Raw genomic sequence first — 20,121 nt, 5'->3', positions numbered from 1 at the left:
TTAACCACAATTTTTAATGAAAAATATATTTTTAACACACATCAAAAATGTAACTGCAGTATTGTTAGGATTGAAGTAATAAATGATTATTTTTGCCATGATTTATAATACCACCAGGGCTATGGCAATGGATACATTTTCTATTCTTCTATCCTCCCACACAAACTCTGCAACCTGTGAAATAATCTGAAGGTGAAAAGCTGTTTGACATAAAAGAGGCTTAAATTTGCAATCCTTATCCAGTGGAAGTTTGAATTTGTCCTTCAAAGCTTTAACATCTTGCATACTATTTGCCACCTAATGTACATTCTTGTGACATACTTTCCCAAAAATAGATTAATTTCATCTTTATTGGGTGAACTATCCTTCTTCTAAGAAATTACATTATCAGCACTTGCAGCCTCTGTCTTCACTTTGATGTTGTGCACATTCAAACAGGCCTTGAACCTATAGAACTCGCTGTAATCTAAAGTAATAATCTTGTCAATCTCATTTTCACCATGCTTGGCTTTTAACTCCTCCAAAAGACTCCTAGCTGTCTGAATGCACAATAACCTAACAATCTTTCAACTTTGATACTGATCCTCTAGCCTCACATTCAAATATTTTCAGTTTCGTCAATCAATTTTCCTAGTATCAATTGCAAAGGCCCAGAACTTTTCACAAACAATAGGTGACCCCTTCTTATTCTTCTCAGTTGTTTCTACTGTGAAGTAATTCATCCCATAAGCTATATTAACATATGTTTACCTTTTCTGACTCTTTAATTTTTACTGTTTATCCTTTTTCTTATAAGTACTTAGACAGCCAATGTGACGAATGCCAGCCAGGTATAGGCATTTAAAATGAATAGGCTACACATAAAAAGGAATAAGATAATGGCATTCACAGCAACCTGGATGGAGTTAGAAATCATTATCTAAGTGAAGTAACTGAGGAATGGAAAACCAAACATTGTTATTGTCTCACTTATAAGTGGGAGCTAAGCTATGAGGACACAAAGGCATTAGAATGATATAATGGACTTTGGGGACTCGGGGGATGGGAGGGGGGTGAGGGATAAAAGACTACACATTGGGTACAGTGTATACTGCTCAGGTGACGGGTGCACCAAAATCTCAGAAGTCACCACTAAAGAACTTATCCATGTAACCAAACACTGCCTGTTCCCCAAAAACTATTGAAATAATAAATAAAATAAAAATAAAAATGAATAAGCTACATGTAAAAGTGATTGCTGGGGTTTATAGCAAAACTGAAAAGTGTATGTTCACTTCAAAGGACACAAATTGAGTAAAAAATAAAAACAAAAACAATGAGTTGACAAAATAAAACAGCTTATAGTCCAAGGGGCACTTATTTATGACTAACGCAATGCAGTAACCAATAACACGCAGGCCAACATTAAAATGACTAGATAACTCAATACTGTTTATTGACGGTGAGAGGAACTCAAACAATTTGCTCTGAAACATAGCTTTGTTCATGTCTATGAAAGTTCCAAACTGACCTTAAGTAAAGAATCACTGGAATAGCATTATTAGAACAAAGAAAACAAGTTTTGGAAAAAAAAAAAAGAGAGCTATTGGCAACTACAGGATAATGGTGAAAAGGTGGTAGATGAGTAATAGTTTTTATATTTCTTAGCCTAATTTTATTCTAATTTGGATAATATATTTGTCTGGACATTTATATTTTCATAGCCTTTAATTTTAATGTTAATCAGAAAAGAAAGCAAATATGACTCATTTAAACACTTGGACTCCTTGGAGACACATTATATACAACATTACACAGAAAACAAGGAAGTTATATATTGCAGTTGCAAGCATTTGTTAAGTTGAAATCCTTTGCAATGTTGCAGGATAAAACAACGAAATCTACTTTCTAAATGAGGAACATAACTAAAACTGGGCTAACACCTTGTTGTAGTTAAGAGGCAAGCCATGCTGTCTCGCTAATAACATGAAACCACTGACTTGATACCAAAAAATGATGGGGTGGGGCACCTTCCAGAGTGTGGTTAAACGCAAATTTGCCATCTGCCTTGCAGGGCTGGTTATCAATGGGGTGAGCTCTATGAGGAAACCTTTTTATTAAAGATGCATAAGGTGATAGTGTAAATGAGGAAGCAGCACAGCAAAGGTGGGCATCTGCCCAAGGATCCATTTTGATTTGGAGTTTGGAAAGCTGATATACTCCAGGTTAAATTTTTGCTAATGTTCGTTTTCTTATTGCTTGTGTGTGTGCTTTATTTTTCTCTTCTTTCATTTCACTAATACATAAAGCAAGATTTGTATAATGACTAGTTAACCACTTGTAAGTCCCAAATGATCCATTTGTTTTTCTCTTCATAAAAATCTCCATGCCCCTTATATTAACTTAGAGCCTGCAGCACAAAAAGGACTCAAGAAATCTGAGTTAATAAATGAATAAGTGTTCAAAAGTCAGGAACATGTAGCAATAATCACTGAATTATTCTAAATTTTTAAATAATTAAAATAAAAATTGCCAGTGTACTAATGAATATGACACAAAACGGGGGTCTAATTATAAAGCATAATCTATCATACATGCATTTCTACTTGTACTATGATTTATCTCACTTGCATTAGAACTGCCAAAAAGAAGAATGAAATAAATATGTAATAGATTTAACACTTGTTTTTTTTTTTAATTTCAGGTTTGCGATCTTAATTTTTGCAATGACCATCAAGTGGGACCAATATGTTCATTTACCATATGTAGATTGAACCTTATGAAAATGCAGGCGGATATGCACACAGTATGATATCAGGAAAGCCATACAGAATCACTAATCTATACTTACTGCTTTCACTCCCTTGGGTTTATGTTCTGCTCTCCAAAGGTGACTTGAAAAAAAAAAAGATATATATATATACAGGAGAAGGACAGGGAGACTTCTGTACATATTTCTTTTGACCAGAATAGCTGGCTACCATTTTGGATAATGGGAAAAACACCCTGGTGAGAGACCATGCAACAGATAACTTTTGATAACACCAGGTGCAGGGATTGACGCAACCCAGAGTGTAGGCATGCCAAGTGACCTAGCATCCAGGTAACTGGGCAGTAACACTGGAAGAGAGAAGTCATAGACAAAACCAAAAACCCCCACAATTTTGCATCTCCTGCATTTAGCTATCAGGAGAGGGCTGCTGTAACACACAACCTTGTCCCCCCAACACCAATAAGCACTGTTCTGTTTTTAACTCCAGGCAGGCACTCAAAAAAAGTGTGTGTGTGTGTGTGTTTTTTGTTATTAAAGACTGCTGTGTAAGGGTCAAATAAATCATTATATTGACTTACTCATGTTAAATTCTTAAAAACTCAAACACCCTTTAGTCAAATCCACACTGAACAAAAAAAAAGCCATGTTAATGTAAGAAACTTAATACTGAAATAACTCCATCAGTAAGAATTCATGGTTTTTCACTTGCTTTTATTAGAAATATCCTTATACCCTCAAATGTTAATTTAGAGTATATATACTCACACTATCCAATGACACATTTCTCTTTCTGTACTAGGTAACAGAAAAAAACTAAACATTGATTTGGAGAACACAGAAGAAAATTATTTGTTTAATGAGATAAGTGACACTACCAACCCATATGGCTATTAAATATGCACCTTCAAATGCTTATACACTGTTGGTGGGAATGTAAACTAGTTCAGCCACTGTGGAAAGCAGTTTGAGGATTTCTCAAAGAATTGAAAATGGAGCTACCATTTGACCCAGCAGACCCAGCAATCCCCATTACTGGGTATACATCCAAAGGAAAATAGATTATAATACCAAAAAGATACATGCATTCATATGGTCGTTGCCATGCTATTCACAATAGCAAAGACATGGAATCAATCTAGATGCCCAGCAATGGTGGATTGGACAAAGCATGGTACATATACCCTATGGAATATTACGCAGCCACAAAAAAGAATGAATTCATATCCTTTGCAGCAACATGAATGCAGCTGGAGGCCATAATCCTAAATGAATTAATGAAGGAACAGGAAACCAGTTACCATACTACATGTTCTCACTTGTAAGTGGTAGTTAAACATTGAGCATATATAGGCATAAAGATGGAAACAATAGACACTGTGAAGGGAAAGAGACAGGGGGACATGAGTTGAAAACCACCTATTGGGTATTATGCTCACTACCTGGATGTAATACACCCATGTAACAAATCTACACAAGTACCCCTGTATCTAAAATAAAAGCCAAAAAACTATAACAACAACAACAAAAATAGGTACCTTCAGTTGTTTCTTTTTTTCTGACAGTGCTGACAAAGCTGTGCACTTATTCATGCATTCTCAGTTGGACTCACCTTTAGCCAATGCTCCGTATTTACAACACCAGCAAGTAAGAGGAGTGATCTTAATTATGCACACTGGGGACATAAAATCAATACCATTTGATTTATTTATTAGTATCTGTTAGCACTAAGAGAACCTGTGGCTATTTGAGTGACCCTCTCAAACTGCAATAGCTAAAGCAAGAACACTAATATCTGAGATGAACAAGACCAAGAAGTTAAGACTTCTAAACTTACAAAGAAAGAATGAGATAATGAATTACTGACAAAATATGAAGGGTAATGTTATGTTATTTTTGAAGGTCTCCTTTGCAACCCAAATATATTGCTTTTTATTAAAAGACATAAAACAGGTCATATTGTTAGATTTCTTTCTCCTGAAATAAGGCAGCAGTCATATTTTTCTTCTTGTAAGGTTGACAAGTGAAAGGAACTTAGGTACAAATTACAGCACCATCTATCTGTGTGTCTATCAAGAGAGAGCACAGGAGAGGGAAAGAGAGAGACAGAGAGAGAGAGAGAGAGAGAGAGAGACAGAGTTAATCCACATGATCCTGTCATTCTGTGCAGCATTTACCACAAGAGAAAACAGCAAAGAAAGCTCTGGTTGTGTTCTATAATGCACTAGCAAACATTAAAATTCAGGGCATGAAATCTTTGGATAAAAGGTTTAGGTAATTTAATTGGTAGATCTCAGAGATAAAAATTACTCCCATGGGAATTTTTATAATGTCATTTGTCAATCCAGTCCAAACATGTTTTCTGTCTTGCCTGTTTACAAAATGGCTTAGCCCCTCCGTTTTTTCAACAAAACTTGCTCAAAAAATATTAACTCTTTTTTAATTCTAGGAAGACAAGAGAGTCATTCTTTGGGAATGAGAGGAAGAACCTCTAAGTTGAAGGTGGGGCTCCAGAATGCCCTCACACATAGAATATTATTTTTTCACCTCCACTGAACATACTTCAGATATCACTCCCACTGAAGATGTGTGCTGAGTTTGCCAGGGAAATTTCAGGCCTCCCAATTTTAGATGGGAGGTGAAATATCTCTACTATCTCCTCTCCTTTCCCTTAGAGGTCACCTGATATACAGCTCATGAGGATTAACTGTTCCAACCCATCAGAGGCCTCTCTAGAAAGAGTCTAACAGCCACATGATTAACATTCAGAGCTTATTACAGAAGTGGTGTTCTGTATTATACAAGGATTTGCAGGATCTCCCTGACCCTGAAAGGCATTTTACCTGGGACTTGGCAAGTGGAGCATTAAACAATGCATAGGAAATAAATTACCTATTTTTCCAAATGTAGATCTTTTCATTAACAATAGTTTGTATTTATCTTTATAGCCATGACTATCTGTAAGATTTTAATTTAATTACAGAGTTGTGAACATAAGAAACAATTGGAAGAGGTCCAAAGGTCAATGAACAGAGACCCAGAAGTAGATGCCCAGTTGATTTATGATAATGGTACAAAGACAATTCAATGGAGGACAGATTGCCATTTTAACAAATGGTTCTACAGCATTTGGATATCTCTAGACAAAAGAAAATAAATAAAACTCTACCCAAGTCTCACACCTCATACAAAAATTCCCTCAAGATGCATCATGAAAGTAAATGTAAAATATAAAACTTCTAGAAAAAGCATAGGACAAACTCTTTGGATCTCAGCCAGGCAGAGTTTTAAACACCAAAAGCACAATCCATAAAAGGGAAAATTGATAAATTAGTCTTCATCAAAATTAAAAACTTTTGTTCTATGACAGCCTATGTGAAGAAGATGAAGAGACAAGTTATAGACTGGGGAAAAAATTGCAAGCCACATATTTGATAAAAGACTAGTATCTAAAATATGCTTTAAAAAACTCACAAAACTCAACAGAAACAAAAATCTAGAAAATGGAGAAAAGAACTGACAAGACATTTCAATTTAGAGGATATACAAATGGCCAGCAAGAATGTGAAAAGACATCCAACATCACTAGCCATTAAGAAAATGCAGATTAAAATTACAGTAAATATCACTATATGTCTCTCAAAAGGATTAAGATAAAAACCAGTAACAACATCAAACACTGGTGGATTATGGAGAAATTGAGTCACTTGTGTGTTGCTGGTGGAGATGTAAAATGATACAGCCACTCTAGAAAACAGTTTGACAGCCTGTTATATAAACTATACAAGCAACAAAAATACAACCCAGCAATTGCACTCCTGGGCATTTATTCTAGAAAAAATTAAAGTTTATATTTACACAAAACATGTATATGAATGTTTGTAGCAGCTTTATTTGTGACAACCAAACACCAGACAACTCTTATGTCCTTCAGTGAGTGAATGGTTAAACAAACTGTGGTACATTCATACTATGGGATACTACTCAGCAATAAAAAGGAACAAACTACCAATGAGCCCAGCAATCTGAATGAATCTCTGGAGAATTATCCTGAGTGGGAAAAAATTCCAAAAGGTTATATGCTACATGTTTTCATTTATATAACATTCTTGAAATGGCAAAAAAATATATGTTACAGAAATAATGGAGAACAGATTAGTAGTTGCTAGTGGTTAAGGAGACGGTAGGGGCTAGAAGGATGTGGGTATGGATATAAAAAGGCAACATGAGGGATCCTGTGGTAGTGAAAATGTTCTCTATCTCCCCCTGTGATCCACCTATTTATCCCTCCCCTCTCCTTCAGCCCTGGACAACCATTAATCTTTTCACTGGCTTTTTACACGCAGCAATATGCATTTAAAGTTTCTCCATGTCTTTTCATTGCTTGACAGCTTATTTATTTCTATTCCTGAATAATATTCTAATATGCGGATGTTTCACAGCTTGTTTGTTCACTCATTATTAGTTACCTATGTTTCTTCCCATTTTTGGCAATAATGAATAAAGGTGCAATAAAATTTTAAAAAACAAAAATGTTGTGTATCTTGACTGCATGAATGTCAATATCACATTTGTAATAATGTACTATAGTTTTGCAAGATGTTACCATTGGGGGAAACTGCACAAAGGGTACATGGACTCTGTATTATTTCTTAAGAATTCAGGTGACTCTACAATTATATCAAAATAAAAAGCTGAATTAAAAATAATATGGATCTATTGGGTAAATGGCAAAAGGCAGCAAAGTAGTTAAAAGAACCTTAGGTAAAGGAAAATTAGATAAATGAATCTTAAAACTGAGGCCATAGTATTATGTTTCTGAAATTTATTCTGAATTTTGGGCCTCCATAGGCTTTTTTTGCACTATTTCTTGTTGAGAATCATTACTCCTATTGAATACAATGATATAATTTAGAATATACAAAGCACTGATTTAGGAATAGTCACATTTCTGAAACTTGGAAGCCGTGAACTTGAGCAATTCACAAGCTCCCTGGGCTTCAATTTCCTCAGCTATAAAATAAGAATTACAATAGCATTGTGTGGTTCAAATAAGATAAGGCATTGAAAAATGTTACTGTTAAACTTCATAATGTGAGTGATTTTTATGCAGTCACCATTAAATGTCATAAAAGCCACAAATAAAGGTTTTCTAATTCAGCTCTGAGAAGTTCAGCACAGCTAACGCTTGCCAAACATTCTGCCTATCTTTGATTGAACAAAATTATATATGCAGAAAACTAAATACAACATTCATCGTGAAAGCAAGTCCCAAGACCCATAGCACACCTATGTCCCACTCTGCAATATCCTGTAGGGATATTATTTTACAATACAGGGTTTTGTTATTATTTAGGTATGATGAGGCCAGTAGACCAGGAAATAATTGCCATTGAAAAGATAGTTTGTTACTCACAGTTCCCAGAGGAAGGGAGCACATCATGGGGAAGGAGCCATATGGGGAAATGCCAGGGTCAGTGAGGAGGCAGAGAGGAGCAAGGGGAAAACAGGGAAGGAGCCTCTATTGTGGTTTCCACAATAAGAAACAGACAAGTCAGGTTAAGTGGGCTTACTATTTCCTAGTTTGAATAATTTCAGCAGGCTATGGGGCATAAGTGCTGTCTCTAGTTGTCTGGGTACCTGGCCTTGGGGTAATTAGGCCGTGCACATGGATAGTGTTCCAGAGTATGAGAGCTTAGTAAAGGTGGTGGTTGAGGTACGGGCTGTGGATTGGTTGGTCTGCATATGAAAAACACACTCCTAGGCAAGCTGTTTATCATTTCTAGGAATTTGCTAGTCCTGGGAGGGGCAGTCTCATTAGGATCAGCAAGGTCTCAGATGTCAAAGCATCAGAAATACAAAAAATAAAATGGCATAATTAATACATATGCCCAGGGTTTTCACAGTGGAGGTCTAAAAACAGATAATGTGAAAGTAGTTATATAGATGCTAAAATATTTTGACAATCAAGGCAAAGTAAATGACCTTAAATTTCCATTGCACACAGACAAGACTTCTAACTAACTTCTTGAGAAGTTAGAAGTCTTGTCTGTGTGCAATGGAAATCAAATTCACGGAAATGAGCTATATTCTTACAAATATTAAATCACTCAATAGCATTTCTGTTCACCTAAGGACTTTAGAGTTTGCCCTGGAATTCAAGTTATCCTTGTCACACTTCCTTAGCTTTGGCCAATCTGTCTGTGTCTTCAGAGCCCCATATATCTGACTGCCCACACTGTGGACTACAGTGCCGTGATATTCTCTTATGTCCCTGACTTCATTATAAGGTACAATCAAAACCTGGATTTCCCTCTCCTGTTGATTCCTGACATTGCTAACATGTGTTGCCTTTCTCTTTTTGTCAGTCTTCCTGGATATTTATCCATTTTATTGAATTAGGTCTTATTTTCATTGATTTTCCTACTAGTTTTCTGGTTTTAATTTTAAGGATTTCTATTTCATTTTTTTTCTTCTGCTTGCTTTGGGCCTATTTCTCTCTTCTTTATCTTTTCTTGAGATAAAACGTTAAACTATTTATTTGAGACTTTTCCCCCTTTTATATTCATTTCCCTTTCAGCACTGCTTTAGCTGTGTCCCACAAATTTTTATATATTTATCTTTCCATTTAGTTTAATGTATTTTTAAATTCCCTTGAGATTCCTCTTTGACCCATAGATTATTAAGAAGTGTGTTGTTAAGTTTCCAAGTGTTTGGAGATTTTTCTATTATCTTTCTGTGACTGATTTATAGTTTGTTTCATTGAGGTTAGGTAAAACATTCTACATGGCTTCAATTATTTTATATTTGCTAAAGTTTGTTTTATGACCCGGGATATGGTCTATCTTGGTATATGTTCTGTGGGCACTTGAAAAAATATATATATATTCTGCTATAGTTGAATTCAGTGCTTTATGAATATCGATTAGATCCTATTAATAGTGTTGAATTAGTTAATGGCGTTGAATTATGACTTTCTGTATAGATATCTCTATCAATTACTGAGAGAGGGATGTAGAAGTTGCCAACTAAAATAACAAAATTTTCTATTTCTCCTTTCAGTTCTGTCAGTTTTTCCTCCACTTAGTTTTGTTTTTTTCCATTCTGTTGTTTTGGTACATTTACATTTAGGATTGCTATGTGTTTTGGTGGATTAACCCTTTTATCATAACATGGTGTCACTCACTGGTTTTGGTAATGTTTTTTGCCCTGAAGTTTTCTTTAACTAATATTAATGTAGACACTCTTGCTTTCCTTTGACTGATGTTTTCATGATATATCTTTTTCCATCATTTTACTTTCAACCTCTCTATATCATTATATTTAAAGTGAGTTTTTGTTGAAAACATATAGCTTAGTCATGTTTTTAATTTATTCTACTAATCTCTACTCTTTAATTGGTATATTTTGATCATTTACGTTTAAAATAATTATTGGTATCTTAGGCATTAAGTCTACTATTTTATTTTTTGTTGACTGTTCTGCTTTCCATTTCTCTGTTTTCTTTTTTGTAGTGTCCTGTTGGTTATTTGAACATTATTTTAGAATTCTATTTTGACTTATTCATAGTGTTTATATCTTTTTGTATAGACCACATGGTCTATCCTGACACTGTGGTGGAAGTGGCCTCATTACTAATGGGTGATGGTAAAGCCTCTTCACAAGGCCTCCTCTAATACCTCAGAGCATAGAGAGAGGGTAACTTTTTTCTTTTTCTTTTTTTTTTTGAGATGGAGTTTCACTCTGTCACCCAGGCTAGAGTATAGTAGTGTGATTGTGGCTCACTGCAACCTTCACCTCCCAGGTTCAGGCAATTCTCCTGCCTCAGCCTCCCAAGTAGCTGGGATTGCAGGTACCCACAACCACACCCAGCTAGCTTTTGTATTTTTAGTAGAGATGGGGTTTCATCATGTTGGTCAGGCTGGTCTCAAACTCCTGACCTCATGTGATCCACCTGCCTCAGCATCCCAAAGTCCTGGGAGTGCCTGTTTTCTGTCAGATGACATAAGAGTCCAATGTGGGATTCATATTATTTTAAAAACCAATGTTGCATTCATTGTCACTCAAGTTGACTGTTGTTTTTTAAAAAATAATATTTATTGCTTAGAAATATAAATGCAAGCATGGAATGAAAATAATTTAGGACAATATCGTAAGTAAGTTCTAAAAAGTTATAGAAATGTATTATATTATTTTTCTTCATAAAGTCATATAAACCTATCATGTTATTTTCTTACATAAAACTCTTTAATAGCTTCCTATTTCTTATAGGATGCATAACCTCAACAATGGCATACAACCTTCTCAGTGATCTGGCCCCATCCACCACACTGGTCTCATATCCCACCATTTCTGTATATATTTTCTACATAGTTTCAAGGGCATTATCAGAATTACTCCAAGGGTATTCTTTTATTAAACTAGTTTTCCTTACTGTATTTCACTGATCTAAGAAGCCCTTGATTATGAGGCACTGCATTACTTTCTGTAAACAAGGAAGAAAAACACTATTATGCTTTATAGTATAATTATCAATTTAGTAAGATGCATCTCAATTTCAGAAATATTAAAAATAAAATACGCTTAAAAATTCATGGAATGTGGTAATTTATGAGTAGATACAAAAAAACATACAAATAGCACAGTGAATCAAACATTACTATGACATCTACCTATACATTCCTACCATATTTCATTCCCCTGTCCTCCCTTCAGAAGAAACACAATTAGAAATTTTTAAAAAGCATATTCCATTATTGTTATCATTTGCCACGTTTGTATCTCTAAGCAATATGTTGTTTAATTTTAGCATATTCTTTACATATGTTCTTTAGGTATTCTGCAATTTACTTTTTTTGCTCAGTATAATCTTCCTGAGATCTATATTGTCACTGTAGCTCATTCATTTTTGCCGTTTTAGTGTTCCATTATGCACATATAGTATAATGTTTTTACCTGTTTCACTGTTACTGTTGATGTGCCATGATGAACATTTGGATGTTTGCTTTTTGTGTGTGCTATTACAAACACGTTGCCCTTCTACTTGTCTCCTGGAGCACACGTGCAAGACCTTCTCTGGGGATTAGATCCAGGAATACAGCTGTGTCTAAACGAAGGTTTAAGCTCTTCAGTTTTACAAGGTAATAGCAAACTGCTTTCTAAAGTATTTGTAACAACTTTCCCTTCCAGCAACAACATGTAAACATTCAGGTATGCCCCAGGGTCCCACTTTCGCTTGGTTCAAACCTATTTAATCTCCCATTCTACCAAAACTCTCACGTCATTCCTTTTTTTTTAATTCTTGCAAGCATTGTTTTTTAAAAAAAATTATTTTTTTAATTGATACATAATAATTTTACAAATTTATGGGGTCCAAAGGGATATTTCAATACATACATTGTACTGTGATCAGATCAGGTCAATTAGCATGTTAATGGAGCAATCTCTTCAAGAAAGTATGTAAAGATAAAGACTTTGCAGCCAGACTGCTCCAGATTGTTCTGAAGATTAGATTAGTTAATACATATAACATGCTTAGACAAGTTCCTTGGACATCATAAATAAACAGGAAATAACTGTTGGGTGATGGTGTTGTTATATTGAATTACATACAGAACTCTGATAACACTTAGATTTTAGTATATTGTATCTTTGTCCATTTACACATACTGCTCCCTTATACTTAAATATCCTTCTCTCCCTGCTTCATCTGAATCTCATTCTTCAAGAGCAATCATATAAATCCTCAGACCCCATGCAGAATAGATCATTCTTACTTAGGGCTACCACTGCTTCAAATGTATCACTTATCACATTGCATTTGAGTCATCTGTCTACTTACTGTCTCTTCCACTACAATTTATTTCATAAAAAATACTTTGTTTTTATTCCTTATTTCCTGGTCTTTGATGAATAAATGAATGAATGATTGTGAACATTTGCAAAAATCAGTGACATCCACTCACAAATATTCATTTAGCTTTTCAAATCCAGCTGAACTACAAAGAGTTAAATTGTACATGCCATCATGCTCTCCTAACAGACTCTTATTAAAGGAATTCTACTTTTTAAATATCCTAGGATAGAAGATTCTTTAAATGTGACCTTTTTATCTGTATGCAACCATAATAACCTTTTCTCCAGCTAGCCTTGTAAATTAATATATTCTTTATTTTCCTCTTCTGTGAGAATGTCACCCTGCAGCACAACTGATTAAAAATAAACCTAGAGCATTGAAGCACCAAGTCATTTTATGGATCTCCTTTCTCCTACTCAGTCTTTAAGTTGGTAAAAAACATTGAACCCTTTGTTTCTTTTTTTTTCTTTAGATTTAGAATGAAGTAATGATTGGCTACTAGAATATTAATAGCTGCAAAACTTACACAAGTGATAAAGTCCACTGCCTTTTAACAGGAGCTCTTTCTGCTACTTCCCTTCATCCAGCCTTTGTGTGAACAGCCCTCATTCACACAGGATAACTTTGGTTATCGAACTATTACATCTAGTATTGTGCCAAATCTTCCTCCCTAGTATTTCTGCTAAAACGGCCTCAGTTTTGACATTGCCATTGGGCAGTGAGGCTAAATACTTCAAAGCAACTCTTCTCCTGCATATGACTAAGTCCTCTAATGCTTCTCCACATAACATAGAATGAGGCTGTGGTTGACTAGTGCTAAAAATGTAGCACCTGGAGTTGACCACAATACACTAGATGTGATATGAAAAGTTTTCAATGGGTTATTATTTATGCATTTATTTGACAAACATATTCTACATCTCTTGTTTCATTGTATGTTTGTATTACCATTGCTTAAGAACATATTTGATGTGTTGTGGGGAGAGGCAGTCATGGCATACCATCAACAGACATCAAGCTTTTTTTACACGTATTTATTATTATTACATTTCATCCATTTAATTTTGTATTATTATTGTTTTTTCAATACACATTTTTAATTTATATTATTTTGTCTAACACAATCATTATTTCACTTGCATTTGAGTTGCCTGAAAATTTGATGACATGAGTTCTTTAAAAGAATGTCTGATGGAGAATGCCATTTGTGTGTTTACAGCTTACCACAATGTCTAGTAATAATAGGTGTTCAATATAAATTGAATGAATTATTTCCAGAATGAATAAGTAATCTTTATACTAAAGTCAGTAAAAACAAAGCTCATCTACTTCCCTTACACATCCTTCCTTTCTCCTATTTCCCTGTCTCATAAAATGACATAATCATCTTCTCATACTATCCAAACTCTAAACCTTGAAGTCATTTTGGATTGTAGCTTTTTTTCTCACCCCCAACATCCATCTGATCATTCAACAACTCTTAATCTGCAGCATTGATTGCATCACTCTTGCCCTTTCTAGTCTAATGAGGGATGCTGTTGCAATCCTTCATTAGGAAGAGTGACATTAATAGCTTTTATTGCTAATGAGACATTTTTCTCATGATATTATAGAGTCCTTATTTTAAATTACATCCTGAATTACTGGAAGTATGCTATTTATAGAGTATTCCCTTTTCCAGACAAACTATCACATAGGTGAGTACACTTGCTTGAACAGCCACATTTAACAGCAGGAATCACACATGCCATCACAACAGTGAACTGCTAACCATGGACTCAGAGTGTTCTATATTCAGGGAAGAAACCAAGAGAATTGCTTCTAAATATCTAAAACATTTAAGCCTGTTTATCTATCTACACACCAAATGTCAAATATATTCCACATTCATTAACTGAGAGTCAACTGGGCCTAGCACTGTCCTGTTTGCAAAAATGAATAAGACACAATTCCTGCCCTCACATTCACAATCGTGGAAGAAAAACAGATATGGGGCTGGGGGTGGTGGGCAGGGATCCAACATGAGTTATCTATAGTGATGTAAATAAGCACAAAGCATAGAAAACTTTGTTCAAGTACTGAGACTTCAGGAATCACATTTTTAAAAAAGGTACAGCAAAGAAACTAATATTCATCATATTCCTCTTTTATATCAGGCTTTCTGATAAGAGTTTGTATTGTTTTACAAGTAATATGAAATATACATATAACAGATGCTAAAGATTTCTTGGTGAATACAAAAGTAATGTTGATGTTTTCAGCAAGAAAACAGTTGCAAAGATGGAATCAATGACTTCTAGTCAAGATGGAAAAGTAAGCTATACCACCCTCTGCTCCAAACACACAGCAATGATTGATAAAATGTAGAAAGATAAAGCCAAAAGGACAGAGCTGGAACAAGATTAATATCTCTGTTTTAATATGGCCTCCCATGTATGATTAAGGCTACTACCTTATTCCATGAGGCATAGTAATGGAATACAAATCAGGGAAAAGAATAATGAAACAGAGAAGAAAAAGGACTACATGGTATTAAGTATGACTGATTGATCATAAGACTGTCATCTGAGAAGCTATCTAAATGACTTCTCGATCCATGGAGGAAAGAAAAAAAATTTTTGCAGGTTCCCATCTCCTGTTGGTTGAAGTTTTACCACACATGTCTTTTCCTCTTCCACTACCCACTCCTCTCACATACTTTGGATTGTGCCTGCTTGAGACCACAGAATTACCTCCTTGTCTTCAACAAGAAGCCTAGAGGCAGGAAGTGAGGGAGGACACAGTGAGCACCACACATTTGCATGTGTGTGAAGGTTGTTGGCTTCCCAAAGAGAGTTGGTTGATGCCGCAGTGGCTCTGCCTGAAATGGGAGGCCAAATGTCCCAAAGACAATTTAAGGTGAGAGTATCTGAAATGTCTTAGAGGAGTCTGATATTATGTCTATGAACACAAAATGCAAAGTACTAAGCACAGCTAAAGCCATAGTCTACTTGGCTAGACTCCAAAATCAGTGGCCTCCAACATACATGACAATGACAATCATAAAATGCAATGCAAGATGGTATTTACACCTAAGGAAAGAAAAAGAAAGGAAGAAGAAAACAGGATGAGGAAGAAATAAGCAACGATTCAACAGTGACCACTATAATTTATTTCATCAAAAGTACTGAGGCAAAGATGGCCAAACAGGAACAGCTCTGGTCTACAGCTCCCAGCAAGATCAACACAAAAGGTGGGTGATTTCTGCATCTCCAACTGAGGTACCTGGTTCATCTCATTGGGACTGGTTGGACAGTGGGTGCAGCCCATGGCGGGTGAGCCAAAGCAGGGCAGGGCATCGCCTCACCCAGGAAGTGCAAGGGGTCAGGAGATTTCCCTTTCCTAGACAAGGGAAGCTGTGAGAGACTATACTAGGAGGACAGTACACTCCTGCCCAGATACTGCACTTTTCCCACAGTCTTCACAACTGGCAGACCAGGAGATTCCCTCTGGTGCTTGGCTCAGTGGGTCTCACACCCACGGAACCCAGCAAGCTAAGATCCATTGGCTTGAAATGCTCGTTGCTTGTGTGGCAGTCTGAGATTGACCTGGGACGCTCAAGCTTGGTGGGGGAGGGGTGTCTGCCATTGCTGAGGCTTGAGTAGGCAGTTTTATGATCACAGTGTAAACAAAGCCACTGGGAAATTTGAACTGGGCAGGGCCCACCACAGCTTAGCAAGGCCAACTGCTTCTCTAGATTCCACCTCTGTGAGCAGGGCATCTCTGAAGAAAAGTCAGCAGCCCCAGTCAGGGACTTATAGAAAAAAACTCCCATCTCTCTGGGACAGAGCACCCGGGGTAAGGGGCAGCTGTGGGAGTAGCTTCAGCACACTTAAATGTCCCTGCCTGACAGCTCTGAAGAAAGCAGTGATCCTCCCAGCAGAGCGTTCGAGCTCCGATAACAGACAGACTGCCTCCTCAAGTGGGTCCCTGACCCCCCATGTAGCTGGACTGGGAGACACTTCCTAGTGGGGGCTGATAGACACCTCATACAGGAGAGCTCTGGCTGGCATCTGTGGGTGCCCCTCTGGGACAAAGCTTCCAGAGGAAGGATCAGGCAGCAATAGTTGCTGTTGTGCAGCCTCTGCTGGTGATACCCAGGTAAACCAGGTCTGGAGTGGACCTCCAGCAAACTCCTTCAGACATGCAGCTGAGGGGCCTGACTGTTAGAAGGAAAACTAACAAACAAAAAGGAATACCATCAACATCAACAAAACGGACATAAAAATCAAAACCCCACCAGTAGGTCACCAACATCAAAGACCAAAGGTAGATAAAACCACAAAGATGGGTAGAAACCAGTGAATAAAGACTAAAAATTCCAAAAACCACAATGCCTCTTCTCTCCAAAGGATCACAACTCCTTGCCAGCAAGGGAAAAAAACTGGATGGAGACTGAGTTAGACGAATTGACAGAAGTAGGCTTCAGAAGCTGAGTAATAACAAACTCCTCTGAGCTAAAGGAGCATGTTCTAATCCAATGCAAGAAAGCTAAAAACCTTGAAAAAAGGTTAGATGAATTGCTAACTGGAATAACCAGTGTAGCAATGAATATAAACGACCTGATGGAGATGAAAAATGCAGCACAACAACTTCGTGAAGCATACACAAGTTCCAATAGCTGAATTGATCAAGTGGAAGAAACGATTATCAGTGATTGAAGACCAACGTAATGAAATAGAGCAAGAAGACAAGCTTAGAGAAAAAAGAGTGAAAAAAAAATGAACAAAGCCTTCAAGAAATATGGGACTAAGAGAAAAGACCAAATCTACATTTGATTGATATACCTGAAAGTGACGGGGAGAATGGAACCAAGCTGGAAAATACTCTTCAGGATAATATCCAGGAGAACTTCCCCCAACCTAGCAGGGCAGGCCAACACTCAAACTCAGGAAATACAGAGAACACCACAAAGATATTCCTCAAGAAGAGTAACCCCAAGACACATAATTGTCAGATTCACCAAGGTTGAAAAGAAGGAAAAAATGTTAAGGGCAGCCAGAGAAAAAGGTTGGGTTACCCACAAAGGGAAGCCCATCAGAATAACAGTGGATCGCTCTGCAGAAACCCTATCAGCCAGAAGAGAGAGGGGGCCAATATTCAACATTCTTAAAGAAAAAAATTATCAACCCAGAATTTCATATCCAGCCAAACTAAGCTTCATAAGCGAAGGGAAATAAAATCATTTACAGACAAGCAAATGCTGAGAGATTTTGTCACCACCAGGCCTGCCATACAAGAGCTCCCAAAGGAAGCACTAAATATGGAAAGGAAAAACCAGTACCAGCCACTGCAAAAACATGCCAAATTTTAAAGACTATCAACGTTATGAAGAAACTGCATCAACAAACGAGCAAAATAACCAGCTAGCATCATAATGACAGGATCAAATTCACACATAACAATATTAACCTTAAATGTAAATGGGCAAAATGCCTCAGTTAAAAGACACAGACTAGCAAATTGGATAAAGAGTCAAGACCCATCAATGTGCTGTATTCAGGAGACCCATCTCATATGCAAAGATACATACGCTCAAAATAAAGGGATGGAGGAAGATTTACCAAGCAAATGGAAAGCCCAAAAAAGCAGGGATTGCAGTCCTAGTCTCTGATAAAACAGACTTTAAACCAACAAAGGTCAAAAGAGACAAAGAAGGGTATTACATAATGGTAAAGGGATCAATGCAACAAGAAGAGCTAACTATCCTAAATATATATGCACTCAGATATATATCCTAAATATATATCCTAAATATACAGAGCACTCAGATTTATAAAGCAAGTTCTGAGACACCTACAAAGAGACTTCGACTCCCACACAATAGTAGTGGGAGACTTTAACACCCCACTGTCAATATTAGACAGATCAATGAGACAGAAAATTAACAAGGATATCCAGGACTGGAACTCAGCTCTGGAGCAAGTGGACCTAATAGACATCTACAGAAATCTCCACCCCAAATCAACAGAATATACATTCTTCTCAGCACCACATTACACTTATTCCAAAATTGACCACATAGTTGGAAGGAAAACACTCCTCTGCAAATGAAAAAGAAGAGAAATCACAACTAACTGTCTCTCAGACCACAGTGCAAACAAATTAGAACTCAGGATTAAGAAATTCACTCAAAACTGCACAACTACATGGAAACTGAACAGCCTGCTCCTGAATTACTACTGGGTAAATAACAAAATGAAGACAGAAATAAAGATGTTCTTTGAAACCAATGAGAACAAAGACACAATGTACCAGAATCTCTGGGACACATTTAAAGCAGTGTGTAGAGGGAAATTTGTAGCACTAAATGCCCATTAGAGAAAGCAGGAAAGATCTAAAATCGACACCCTAACATCACAATTAAAAGAACTAGAGAAGCAAGAGCAAACAAATTCAAAAGCTAGCAGAAGGCAAGAAATAACTAAGATCGGAGCAGAACTGAAGGAGATAGAGACACAAAAAAACCCTTCAAAAAAATCAATGAATCCAGAAGCTGGTTTTTTGAAAAGATCAACAAAATAGATAGACTGCTAGCCAGACTAACAAAAAAGAAAAGAGAGAAGAATTAAATAGATGCAATAAAAAATGATAAAGGGGATATCACCACTGATCCCACAGAAATACAAACTACCATCAGAGAATACTATAAACACCTCTACACAAATAAACTAGAAAATGTAGAAGAAATGGATAAATTCCTGAACACAAACACCCTACCAAGACTAAAGCAGGAAGAAGTCAAATCTCTGAATAGACCAATAACAGGTTCTGAAATTGAGGCAGTAATTAGTAGCCTACCAACCAAAAGAAAAAAGCCCAGGACCAGACGGATTCACAGCCAAATTCTACTGCAGGTACAAAGTGGAGCTGGTACCATTCCTTCTGAAAGTATTCCAATCAATAGAAAAAGAGAGACTCCACCTTAACTAATTTTATGAGGCCAGCATCAACCTGATACCAAAACCTGGCAGAAACAAAAAAGAGAGAGAGAGAGAGAATTTTAAGCCAATATCCCAGATGAACATCGATGTAAAAATCCTCAATAAAATACTGGCAAACTGAATGCAGCAGCACATCAAAAAGCTTATCTACCATGATCAAGCCAGCTTCATCCCTGGGATGCAAGGCTGGTTCAACATATGCAAATCAATAAACGTAATCCATCACATAAAAAGAACCAATGACAAAAACCACGATTATCTCAATAGATGCAGAAAAGGCCTTCAACACAATTAAACAGCCCTTCATGCTAAAAACTCAATAAACTAGGTATTGATGGAATGGATCTCAAAATAATAAGAGCTATTTATGACAAACCCAAAGCCAATATCTTACTGAATGGGCAAAAACTGGAAGCATTCCCTTTGAAAACCGGCACAAGACAAGGATGCCCTCTCTCTCGACTCCTATTCAATATAGTGTTGGAAGTTCTGGCCAGGGCAATCAGGCAAGAGAAAGAAATAAAGGGTATTCA

At 36.5% G+C, this 20,121-nt stretch overlaps 1 annotated feature.

The window, feature by feature from the left end:
- Positions 15,587–16,087: an enhancer, noted in NCBI's record as "H3K27ac hESC enhancer chr4:86087809-86088309 (GRCh37/hg19 assembly coordinates)". NCBI's record gives its function as "activates a minimal SCP1, AML or CMV promoter by ChIP-STARR-seq in primed H9 embryonic stem cells {active_cell/tissue: H9 hESC(primed)}" and the evidence as "EXISTENCE:reporter gene assay evidence [ECO:0000049][PMID:30033119]".

This window comes from Homo sapiens, chromosome 4 (genome assembly GCF_000001405.40).
Source record: "Homo sapiens chromosome 4, GRCh38.p14 Primary Assembly".
NCBI classification, from domain to species: domain Eukaryota; kingdom Metazoa; phylum Chordata; class Mammalia; order Primates; family Hominidae; genus Homo; species Homo sapiens.
The sequence above is the reverse complement of the archived record's forward strand: the minus strand, read 5'-3'. Positions and strand labels throughout refer to the sequence as shown.